Source organism: Homo sapiens, chromosome 3 (genome assembly GCF_000001405.40).
Source record: "Homo sapiens chromosome 3, GRCh38.p14 Primary Assembly".
Lineage (NCBI taxonomy): Eukaryota > Metazoa > Chordata > Mammalia > Primates > Hominidae > Homo > Homo sapiens.
In genome coordinates this window covers 190595803-190609287 of record NC_000003.12, presented here as the reverse complement: position 1 = coordinate 190609287, position 13485 = coordinate 190595803, and the positions used below count along the sequence as shown (strand labels likewise).

Here is a 13485-nt window from a genome sequence, read left to right as displayed (position 1 = left end):
GATAATCTGAAGAGAAACACCTTTGCTTATAAATATAACTCAGCAAATAAGCATTATCATTTTATAAGCCATTAGAGAGAATAAAATGTAGTCTAATTTTCCTTACCATATACCAAGTGATAGTCGGTTTGACACTGGAAGGAAAATATCCATCTACATTTGGACAAGTGATCCTCTGAATGCCATATTCTATATACAGTTTATGCACTGGGAGTTTCATGGGGGAATTGAAACAGCTGTCTTTTTGAACAACTTCCAAGGGAAATGCAACTTTGCTGCAATATGTAGTGTTCCTGAAAAAAGAAATATACAATGAATGGGTAGTATTTGCATTTGATTTCATAGAGCAACCACATTCAAATGAACTAAGTGAAGCCAGGCTACATACGGAGACATCATTTATACATGTAAGTTCATGTAAGAGATAAAATGGTAGTGGAGGCATTTCCTACACGAATTGACATCACAGAATAAAAAAACAGGCACAATTAATTAACTACTATTAATGTACTAAAGTATATTTTCAGATGTGATCCTGTGTGTGTTTGTCAGTGTATATAAATAGTCATGTGTCACACGATGACATTTCAGTTAATGATGGATTACATATGTGATGGTGGTTTCATAAAATTTTAATAGAGCTCAAGAATTTCTATTGTTTATTGATGTAATCGTCATTGTAATGTCATAGGGCAACATATTATTCACGTTTTTGGTGATGCTGGTATAAACAAACCTATGCACCGTCAGACAAATAAAAGTGTATAGTAATGTCCTGGGCTTTCACATTCATTCACTGCTCACTCACCTACTCTCCCAGAACAACTTCCAGTCCTACAAGCTCTATCCATGATAAGTGCCCTACATAGGTGTACCGTTTTTATCATCTTTTATATTGTATGTTAACTGTGTCTTTTCTATATTTAGACAGATTAGGTACACAAATCCTTACCACTGTGTGATAATTGCCTACAGTATTCAGTACCACAACCTGCTATACAGGTTGGTAGCCTAGGAGTAACAGACTATACCATATAGCCTAGGTGTGTAGTAGGCTCTACCATCCAAGTTCATGTAACTATACTCTATGATGGTCATACAATGACAAAAATCAGCTAACAAATATTTCTCAGAACATATCCCCTGTTCTGCTGTTCAACACAGCAAAATATAACTGTGTATATATGTAACACCTAAAACATTCTCAATAATGCTCAGTGCTGGTAAGGCAGAGGCATGAATGGCATATTTATGCAGAGTCAATAATGGTATAAGCAACCTTTGGGAAAAACTATGTTTTCAGGATCATAAAACGCCTTTGTTTTTGCCCTAGCAATCCTATGTCTGGATATTTTGTCACATGATAGAACGATAGAAAAGGAGGAATAGAGACAGCAAATAGTCAAAATGGCCCATCCAGAGCCATATCGGCAAGGAAAACATTAAAATCAATAGAAGAAAATGTGACAAATGGAATATTATCAAGAAACCTGTGGTACAATCATTCCAAGTTGTTGTGAGAATGTATACAAACAATCAGGCATGAAGGAAAAAAACAAACACATAACAATTCCTTAGGATGACTGGGGAATTACATTGGTGCTATAATGTTCACACACGTTGTTCCGTCTGCCTGGAGGGCTTACTTCCCCCACCCCCTCCATTTCACATGCAGGCCTTCTCTGTTATCTTTTCCCACCTCATATCTAAATTTGATCTGTCATTTATTGAGCACCTTGGACATTTCCTTTATTAAATTTGTTATAGCTCAAAATTAGATTGTTATGTTATAGATACGTACGCTTATCCTCTGTAAAATATAAGTCCCACAACGCTATTTATGTTTTTTATTACATAAATTGCATCTAGTACAGTGTCTTAACTTTCAGTAACTGCTAAATAAATATTTGTTATTAAATAAATGGAATGGATGTAAAACTTGTGTCTAAATATAGGAAAACATGAAAAAGAACATACAATAATAAAAACAACTAATTTTTTACAGTGATGGGATAAGGAGTCTATGTGTAGCCATTTCTGTGATTTTTGTCTAAATAACATTTGGGAGGCATCACATAACACCTATTTGGCTTATCTGGTACCAAAATGACTTATGAATAAAGACTAAATATAGTGGAAGGGGTGGGGTATGCACTCTCAAAGAGGGAGGGAGGGGTGTTAAAGATGACTTGTGACAACGCTCAGAAGGTGGCAAGGGGGAGTGGTAGGCATGACCCCTACCTACAAATAACAAAACATCTGCCACGTGGAAGACAGATTCTATAGGTGGAAGTTATAGAAAGTAAATTTAAGTTTAAGGATATATTTTCTGATTTTAAAAAATATGAAGAACAGTGGTTCAACCGACTTTTTTTTAGCTCCCAAAGTTGAACAGTATTGGGGCAAGAATATAAATAAAATACTGAAAGACGAAACTAACTTTATGGCCTTAAAGACATTCAGGCCTATGGTTCTACATGTTTCAGTTTAAGGTCATTCTCAGATTCGACATTTCCTCAGTAAAACAGGAAACCTAGTAGTGCTCCTACCAGACAATTTCAATTCTAGATTTGCTTTAGGAACATGGAAGATAGAGAAGTAAACTGAAGAGGTGACAATCTGAAAGTTGATAAATAACATTAAAGGTATATGCAGGTCTTAATAGTCATGCAGCTCTACTCCTATAATGTAAAAGAAGATTAGAAAAGTTTGTGGAAGATCTACAGGCAAGTAGTAAGTAATTAAGGAAAAAGTAAAACTGATATTGAAGCACTAAGATACACAGTGGAGACCATAGTTAAACAGAAAGCTCCTGATGACTTCTTCCCGTTGGGAAATGTTAACAGATGAACAGTTATCAAAGAAAAAAAGGAGCTCATCAAGCATGTATGCCAACTCTCTTCCTATGTGGACGTAGATACCACAGCTCTCAGACATGGACAGGACTTGCCTAAGGTCACCAGCTAAGTAGTGGCAGAGTGGAAGTGATGGCCTGGTTTCTCTGTCTTCTCCTAATGCTCTTTCCACTATAATCTGCTTTAACTTCTACCAAGTTGTATTAGAACATAAATAATGACAACATGAGTATTTCAGGATCCTCAGAAACCCATATACCAGTCTAAAGTCCACTCCATTAAAATTCAAGTGTCCAATGAAAGCCTCAGAAGGACCTTCAGAGGCTACAGGGATCCCCCTTACCTGCAACCCCCAAGAACACAGTGATCCAAAGGCTTTTCTGTGATAGAAAAGAGATCTTTTTTCACATAATCATAACATAGCTTACATTTACCAAAGCATAGTCATAGTTTTCCATCAGGGAGTAGTTACTCTCCATGAGAGAAAAAACATTTGTGATTATTTATTGTTATGGACTGAGTTGTGTCACCCAACCCCAATTTATATGCTAAGGTCCTAATTCACAGTACATTAGAATGTGACTTTATTTGAAAACAGAACATTTAAAGACATAACTGAGCTCAAATGAGGTCATAAAGGGGGTCTTTAATCCCATATGACTAGCATCCTTATCAGAAGACGAGATTAAGACACAAACACACAGAGGAAGACCATGTAAAGACAAGGAGAGAAGATGGCCATATACAAGCCAAGGAGAGAGGCATCAAGAATGAAATCAACCCTGCCAACACCCTGATCTTGGACTTCCAGCCTCCAGAACTGTGAGAAGGTAATTTTGTTTGTTAAAGTCACCCACACTGTGGTATTTTGTCATTGCAGCCCTAGCAAAGCCACACACCGGTTAAATAGCAGGAAGTCGTTAAAAGAAAAAAAAATAACCCGGATGGGAGTTTAGAAAACAAAGGCAAGCCTGGCAGCTAAAAAGTGACTGTGAGTAAAAAGTAACCAAATAATTAACCCTGAAAAGGGCTATTCTGTGGAGAGGCCTCAGTTTTTAGAAGTTGTTTGTTTTGTTTTGTTTTGTTTTTTTGTTTTTTTCCCCAAAAACAACATTAATGCAGAAAAAAAAAAGAGGAATACTGAAGAGTAAAATATAAAATCTACAAAACTTTCAAGGGAAAAAAAAGTGGATTGAAAAGAAATTTTACAGTCATGGTAAATTGTTTGGATTATATCCTTAGATTGCCAGAGATATGGTATTCTCTTGCTTCTTAGGGGAAAGTTGGTAGAAGTTTAAAAAGCATTGTCATACATATATGTCATGCCTCCCAAAATAATATTTGGGAGAATATTATGACAGACAAAATTCTAAGGAGGAAATTGTAACTGAAAAGGCAAACCTTGGACAAATGGGAGAGAGGACTCCCAGTTCGTTCTAGGTCTTCTGATTTGGGGGCTAGATGTGCAGTGTCTGACAGAAATGATAATGCGAACCACATATGTAATTTTCGACATTTCAGTTGCCACACTCAAAAAGTAAAATAATATTTGGGAGGCATCACATCACACATATTTGGGAGGCATTGTGCATCACACAATGCACCTGAGTTTCTCTTCTGTGCCAAGTACTTTGAAAGATGCCAAGAAAAACAGATACAAATGGGCTCTATTCTCTGCCCTGTTCAATGTCTGGAGAAATGGATGTCTCCAGGTGGGGCATAAAGGCAGGCAGGAACCGGTGTGGTGAGAGGGGATTAATAACAAGGCTCCACTTTCGGACAACTTTGATATGTCTCAGGGTCTGGGAAGGAACTACCTCTGGAGAACATTCTAAGGGCCACAACCAATTTCTCTGCATACCTCCTTCAGACCCCTTCAGCTAAGCTGCAGACAATTACCTCACTAAACTCTATCTAAATGCTTCCGACTTCTCCCCAGCTTCCTAGCACACGGATCATCCGGAAAAGAGCCCAGAAACTAAAGGGAAAAGAGAAAGCCACTGCCAAGAATCAGGCTACCTTAACATGCAGGTATAGTTGCCAGTGTCATTGAGGAGAGTGGGCCGGAACCACAGCACATCTTTCTCCTTACTAATGCGGTTCTCGGGGAGGCGGAAGTTAATTGGCTCCTCAAGGTCCCGGTCCTGCCTAGTCCAATACCAGATCAGAGTAAGGCCAGCTGAATGGGCTGTGCTGTAGTTGAATTTCAAGAAGTGTTCAAAGAGTGGGCACTTGATGCGAGCTGGCTCATCTTCAAACACTTGGATTTGCCTCATGGTGTCTAGTCCCCAGTCATCGCAGCGTTCTGGAATAATCAAAAAAGAAAGAAAGGGGCAGATGAGTCATTTTACAACAAAGGCCTCAAAAGAACACACCTTCTCCTCAGTTCACCCGGTCTTTTCCAGAACCTCTTTCTCTGGTCATCTTCCAGCCTCCCTCTAATAATTGCATACAGTAGGCACCTTTGGTGTGAAGAAACTGCTGTTCCCCATTATTTATTATTTTCTGAGTATCTCTTGAATAATGATTTGATCTGATAGCTTGACCCTGTTAAGCCCTGCAAGGTATGGGAGAAAGTTTCACCTAAGAAAGACATCAAGTGTTTTTTCACTTTGTGGAACAGAGAATGGTTTAAGGAGGAAATTGTAACTGAAAAAGACAATCCTTGGGCAAATGGGAGAAAGGACTCCCAGTTTGCTCTAGATCTTCTGATTCATGGGCTAGATCTGCAATGTCCAATAGAAATTATAATGCAACACACATACGTGATTTTAGACATTTCAGTTACCACACTAAAAAAGTAAAACAAAGCAGACGAAATTAATTTTAATATTTTGTTAAACCCAATATATCCAAAATATAAAAAAATGAGCTATTTTACATTTACATTCTTTTTCTGTGGTACATCTTCAAAATTCAATGTATTTTTCACTTACATCTCAATCTGGACTAGCCACATATGTCTACTGTCTACTTTATTGGACAGCAGGACAGTAGACCTCAAGAAATCAAGAGATCTCAGTAATACTCCTTGGTGGAATACTCATTCAGAACTAAAGGTGCTACAGTTTCAATGACAGAGTCAAATAAAAAAGGAGCTTAGTTCTACAAGGTCACTCAATTCTTTAAATTCCTTCTGAGCTGCATACCCATTTTATATTTTTATCATCAAACATTATTTTTAACGATCACTTGAAAAGTCTGGAATACAGTCTGCAAAAACAGCCCTAGTTTTCTCTTTCCCCTGTATCCACATCCTCTGCAATTTGAAACTGTGAGTTTTCCAATCAAGAGTCTATCTTACCACCCCTCCAATCTGCACTGTCCTTGTGCGTAATGGCTTCTATAATTTATTCTTTATAATGAAAAGTAATCACTCATCTACTCAGAAAAAAAAACAAACTTCTTTTAAAGAATTTTTTCTTTATTTTAAGAAAACAAGAAAATATTTATTTTCTTTAGAGTGATATCTGAATGGAGGGCTCTAGAAGTCACCAGATGAAGAGTGAACAGAGGTCAGGGTGATGGAGTCCTGCGGACCACAAAACCATCACCTTAAAGTAGTTTTTTCCTCATGTCCCTAACATATGCACATACACATGCTTATGTATGTATTTTTTTAACTCTGTAATCTTCCCTACGTTTCCATTGACATCTAAAACTTCTCATGCCAAGTATAATTGGAAAGGATATATTTAGTGTCATAAGTAATGCCATTTTGAAAGAAAAGAGTTACATCATTCTTTTAATTACATCCAATGGAATAGTGATTTGCCATACACCAATATCCAACCTAAAAACATGTAAAAAAGCTTTCTTTAACCATTATAAATTCCATAGTTTCTTTTTTTCCTTGAACTTACATTAATTCCACTATCTCCACATGCAAATTTACTTTAATGGAATATATTCTTATGTTTGATAGTTTATGCTTTATTTTTCATCATTTTATTCTTTTGTGTAATATGTAAAGTGCTAAGTGTTAAAAGATTTTTGAAATGTCTTATAAATTTAAATAATATGTTTTCATTTTATAAGTAATTAATGATTATAAAATGTAAAGCTTGCATTGGAAATCATTTCTTAGTAATATAGAAGGGCTATTTTTGAATGAGAGTTTTTAGGTACTAGTTGAAAATTGTTTGCTTACACGTGAGAACTGGGAAAATTTGTTTACAGTAAGGAACTAAAGGAGCTTAGTTCCACAAGGTCACTCAATTCTTTAAATTCTTTCTGAGCTGTATACCCATTTTATATTTTTATCATCAAACATTATTTTTAACGATCATTTGAAAACTCTGGAATACAGAGTCAGCAAAAACAGCCCTAGTTTTCCCTTTCCCCTATCTCCACATCCTCTGCAATTTGAAACTGTAAGTTTTCCAATCAAGAGTCTATCTCACCAGCCATCAAATCTGGGCTGTCCTTGTGAGTTCTACTGGCAAACAAAATGCAGCAAAAGTGATTGTGTGGTGTGTGACGATCTAAACTTAAGAGTTAAAAGATTTTGCTTTTTCTCTTGGAACTCTGTTGTCACTATGAGAACAAGTCCACAAAAGCATATTAATAAATAAGAGACCACAGAGAGGACAGCTGAGACACCCCAGCTGGCAGCTGGCCCACCTCCAGAAGTATGGCTATCTGGCTTTCCACAACTGACCAAAGGTACAAGAGCAAGTCCGGCCTGGACGAGCTGAGCCGCACAAGATACAGACTCAGAAGCAAAAATACAAGTGAAATAAATAAAATGAAGTTTGGTCATTTAAATTTGTGCTTCTTTGCAAGGCACCGTTTTTGCAGCAGTGGATAACTGGCAAAACAACTCACTTGTCATTATTCTAATTTTGATAAAAGTGAAGAATCTGAAGCTTTCTGACTTGCAAAAGGATTTGTCAGGTAAGTAATAAAGCTCGGGGAAATTTAACAACTAGTTTTTCCAAGACTCAACAAATGACTATTTGTTGCTATGTTTTTAGTTAGAAGCAACTTTTAAAAAACATACAGAGAAATAATTGGAAAAATCAGTGTTGTTCACATCAATGCACACTTGTAACACAATGTATTTTATAAAGTATCACATTCTTTGAAAATATTTGCAAAGTTGCAGAGTTCGCTTATTCAGTTTATATAAAAGTATAACCAAAGTTTTGGCTGGGCATGGTGGCTCACGCCTGTAATTCCAACACTTTAGGAGGCCGAGGGGGCGGATCACCTGAGGTCAGGAGTTCGAGACCAGCCTGGCCAACATGGCGAAACTCCATCTCTACTAAAAATACAAAAATTAGCCAGGCATGGTGGCAGAGGCCTGTAATTCCAGCTGCTCGGAAAGCTGAGGCAGGAGACTTGCTTGAACCCGGGAGGCAGAGGTTGCAGTGAGCTGAGATCGTGCCACTGCACTCCAGCCTGGGTGAGAGAGCAAGACTCTGTTTCAAAAAAAGAAAAGAAAAGAAAATTAAAATAATGTTTAATACATAATCCCAAGTAACTGCAAGAGTAGGAGAAAAGACAATAGTGATACCAACATGGACAAGTGGTAACAGACTTAACACACCTAAAAAGACAAATCCTAAACCAGCAGCAGAGAACTGGAGAACAAACCAATCTGTAGTTCAGGGTGCTGAAAAGACCCAGGAATTATCAGCATCAAGATAAAGAGTCATTAGTGCTGTTCACCCACTATTTATGGGTTCTCCTCCGAGTATAAGATTGTACATTTCCACACCTCTGAAGTAAGGAGCGGCCATGTGACTTACTTTGACCAAGAAGATGTAGTCAGTCCTACTTGTGGATGTTTTGGATGGGGTATATTTTACAAAATTCCCTTTTCTTCTGCCTTGGCAAATATGAAAGCACAGAGACAGAGGCTCCCTTAGGTTGGGTACTTTGATGGATGGCATACCACACAACTTTGTTCTTTGAAGGCAGAGATGATTTGGATTTGCTTATTACCAATATCAATAATCTATCCTGGCACATGCAGTCAGGTATCTCAAAACCGAAGATATGGGAAGAATGGTAAAAGAAAGAAGACAGAATGACAGCTATATAAAAAAGTTACATGCTTTGTTCCAAGCCCACTCTTCTAGCACTGAACAGTTTTCTTCACTCAGCTCCAAGGATGAGGGCAGTCAGACATTTACTCTCCACAGAAGAGAAGGAAAGAATCTTCCGTGGAAAATCTGGCCAGTTTAAGAAGAAATATATGACAATCTTACTATCAGAAGCTCTTTAGAAAATTGTGCAGCCACATCATCCAACAGAAAAGCTCAAGTTTAACGAGCATCACGGCTTCACACTCACATTTAGAATTTCCAATCAGCTTCTTAATCACTTCTTCTTAAATCTGAGCAGATCATCTGAGAAAAACCTCTACCACAAAATGTAATGTCAGAAAAAAAAAAGTAAAAGGAACTTGGAGAAAATCAAATTATTCAAGGAAAAGTAAACATGTAAAAAATACTATCAACATTCTCAGAGCGATAAGGAACCTGTTTCATCCATGAAGCAGGAACAAATGCTATAACCAAGCAATATTCAGAGAACAAAAGCCCACTAAAACAAAAAACTTTAATAGATTTTTTTTTAGATGTTAAATTTAAAGATTTCCTAAAAAGCAGAGTAGAAAGAAAAAGAAATAGAAAATAGATAAGAAAGTTAGAAGCCCACTTCAGGAATCTCAATCACTCAATAAGAGAACTCTCTGCACCACACCTTTCAAAAAAAAAAAAAAACCCAAAATACCAAGAAAGTTCTCAATTAAATAATTCACAGAAAAAAAACAAAATCTGAGAACTGAAGTATACAACCTTCTAAGGACCTATCAATTGCCCCAGAATAATGGATAGAAATAGACTCACACCACATAAATATTTCAAAACAATTGCAGAGAAAGAGAGGATTCTGCAAACTGCCAAGGAGTAAGAAAGGAAAGGAAAAAAAAAAAGTCACTTTACGAAATATTAGGAATGAGAATGGTTTGGGAACTCCCAAACACAAGACTGGAAACTAGAAGATAATGAAGCGATGCATCTGAAGGAAAAGTATTTCCAACCTAGAACCTAAACATAATAAAACAATCAAGTGTGAAGGTGACAAATGCAGACACGTAAAGACTCCACAATTTATTTACCATGTCCTCCTTATCAGGGAGCTTCGGGGGATGTGTGCCACAAAAATGAGAGAATAAAACAATAATAGAGAAAACCTAGGATTGGGAATAGGGATTCTAATTCAAGAGAGGAAAGGGATCCTCAGAATGACAGTGAACGAGACCCAAGGATAAAATTTATGCACCAGGGCTTGGTAACGAACCAGTATAGGTAGTAGGGATTGGAAACCTCCAATAAGGGAAAAAATAATCACAACTGACAGATTATCTGATGTCATTAACAGTGTGAAAAATGTGAAAAATTATGCTGAAAGGCAATTGAAAGCTATAAAAATGGTTACAAAAACATACAAATTAAAATAAGCATATGAAAAGCAATGCAGTTAATAACTTCAAAAACTAAGAGACGTAATAGAATTATAGTTCATAAATATGTGAAAACATATTAATGAAATGATTATTGACTCGACCAAATATGAAATATAGAGAAGAATGGGTAGAAGGGATAGCAGTTTCAGTGAGATTATCCTCATTTACTATAATGAAAAAAGTGAAAAGATAATGCCTTGGGTTGACTACACAAAAGATAACAATGTATACAAATAGGTTAGCAAAATATAGATGGGAAATATTAGAAGAGATAAATAAGACATCCAAGTTGTTGTCTCTGAGAAGGGTAATTAGTAAAAGTGAGGATAGTTAAGGCAGAAAGTATATAATTATTTTGATTTTTTTTAATATATTGACCTTAAAAATCTGTGCATAATTTGCTTTCAAATTAATTAAAATAATAATTAGAATAAAAGGAAGAAAGGAAAGAAGGAAGAAAATATCCACTAGGTAATACAGTTGGCAAACCCATTCTATGTCAAACCATCCTTATCATAACTACTTTCTGTTAGAAAAATTTTTGATTTTATATTTTATTTCCAAAAATTGTGTTGTTATGTATTGGCTTGACAGTCATTTCACTTTGAATGATAAAGTATATAGAAAAAAAAAGAGGAAGAAAACAGTTGGATAGCAAATGGAGTCTGCAATTTCATTATACTGTTTGTTGTCTAGATAAAATAAGATGTCACTGCCATTGGTATTTCCTACAGATATTCTTCACGTGTTTTGCAAAAGCATCTCCCTGAAGACTGCACTTTTTGGACTGCAATTAGATGATGGTAGACGAAAGACTATTAAATGGAAATTAGTATCTTTCCTATAACCCACTCTACAATGTGTATCAATTCAGATCACTCCAACTTGGGCCACAGATCATATTCTGATGTCATGATTCACTCTTAATAGAAACATTGGTAAATTGGAGAGAAAAAGGAAGGCCTGCTGGGGTTTAACAGTGCCCTTATTAAGGAGACATTCTGACACCAATAAAATAAGTGTCATGTTAGACCCTGAAAATCTTTATAGCCCTGGGCAATAATTAATAGTAAGATAGATGATGAGCGACATGTAGATTTTTCTTTTGTAAAGTAGGAGAATGCCGATTGGGAAAGAGGAAATAAAAAAGGAGAGCTAACATAACATTTTAACGGCAAGCATATACTCAGACCAATTTAGGAGGAATTATAAAATGGATTTTTAGTGATCACGAGAACAGACTATGGTAGAGACTGTCTATATGCTCATTAATTCTGTTCTCCTTGACTCATGTGAAAACTACTTCTCTTTGGTAATTGGGTTGGGGCCATGTGAATTTCCTCTGGCCAGTGAAATGTGGGCAGAAATGCTGTAGAGCCTGAAATCCCCAGCATAATCTCTGATGCTCTCTTTCCCTGAAATGGAGGCCCTGAAGTCCAGAAACTGTTGAAAAGGTAGCATCACAGGATGGGAGGAATCTGGATTCCTGCCACTGCTCAGAGCAGAGCTGTTCAGGAATGCCACTTGACTTTCAAGCGGCTGTGACATGAGTGAAAAATAAATCTCTATTGTCTTAAGTCACTGAGATTTGTGATAGCAACTAGTACTGCCTATCTTGATTAACAAAAAAAGGAAGGTAGAATTTTCCTTTCATAACATAAGTTAATAAATCAAGACCAGACACTTTTTAAAAAAGCATTTGTTCCTTACATACTAAAATTTGAATACAAGTCAATCACCAAGATTTCTGGCCCAATCCATCGGCTTAATATGTCTTCAATTAAATTCAATACATTTTTAAAGGGAAAGGAAATAATTATACCTGCCATGTATCTCCCTTACATGATGTTTCATGGACCAAATGAATATGTGTGTAAAGTGAGTCAGCCTCCTGTACCACAGAGCCTGAAAATATATGTATTAGCATTCATAAACATTATTATTATTGAGCTTTTTCTTTGGGATATTTGCCCATTTGAAATTAGTTCTGTGAGTTTTTAAGTTCTCTAGACAGCCACCTGAGCGCATTTTGTCAGAGCTTTTTATATTATTCAATGAACAAATAAAAATAAAATCTATGGCAACAGGCTGGAGTGTCATGTAATACCAAATTAATTATATGATTCACTGCAGGCACCAGCCTCAGAAAAGACAGGAAAAGGCTGTTATGCAAATACATTTGTCTCTAATAACAGCAAAGGGAATTTAGCAAATTACTAGCACAAGAATTCCTTTTTTGTTTATAATGTCCCTTCTTATTCAGTTTACTCCACAGTGGAAGTCCTCTCTAAATTGGCCTCTCAACATGGGAGAACCACAAAGTCATCATTCCTCTCAGCCAAAAGGGTTTCTTAAGGCTGAGACTTGGTGGCACAGAGGACTAATGGAAATGTGCAAAGCTTTGCAAAGCCAAGTCACTGGAAGATCCAACCCACGCTCCTGACAGCAATTAGCATTTATATAGCAGGGTATACGTTTTAACTAATTAATCTCACAACACACTCTAGGGCTTTCATGCCCATTCCCACATTACATGCCAGGAAACGGAGACAGAGAGATTAATTGACTTACTTTTGCCTGAGTGGTAGCACAAAAAAAAAAAGCTGCCTGACTATAGAGCTAGGATGTTTGTCCCAAATGTATCCTCACACATTCAAAGCAGAATATTTTCCACAGAAAAGCTCTTCATATATTTGTATTCATTAAATATTTATTGAGAACCTGCTATGCGCAAAGCACTATGCTAGGTGCTGGGGTAGACAGACATATAAGTATAAAAAATCAGGAAACTCAGGTATAGAAAAGAAAGAGCAAAGATTTGAATTTTAGGAGACCTAAAGTGGAATTACTTTCCATAGTTAATTATTTTCCATGTGCCACTTAGTTGCCATATGGCCTTGGACAAAATGCTTCTCTTAAACTAGTCTCTGCATGTACACCCTGCCTATCTTACAGTGCTGTGTGAGAGTTAAAAGTCCTAGCATGCAAAACGAGCTCAGTACGTATTAGCTGAACCTGTATCAGAAAATTCCCATCAGAAAATTAACAATCTTCACAAAAGAAAGACATAGAAATAGAGTTAACTGAATGAAATCAACCAATTGTCATAACAGGTTTCTAAACAGAAGCATAATAATATTAAATGCTATTATA

General features: G+C 36.5%; 1 protein-coding gene across 17 annotated transcripts in view; it reads right to left on the bottom strand.

The window, feature by feature from the left end:
- IL1RAP (interleukin 1 receptor accessory protein) overlaps positions 1-13485 on the bottom strand; it is a 145666-nt gene that overhangs the window by 50463 nt on the left and 81718 nt on the right. For all 17 annotated transcript variants that reach the window (NR_157352.2, NR_157353.2, NM_001167931.2 and 14 more), the window contains 2 exons: positions 4875-5160; positions 107-293 (listed from right to left, as the gene is read on the bottom strand). Coding sequence is in view for 15 of the 17 variants with exons in the window: in NM_001167931.2 (NP_001161403.1) it covers positions 107-293; positions 4875-5160 (473 nt within the window). In the remaining 2 variants the exon portion in view is untranslated. The remainder of the gene's footprint in view (positions 1-106; positions 294-4874; positions 5161-13485) is intronic.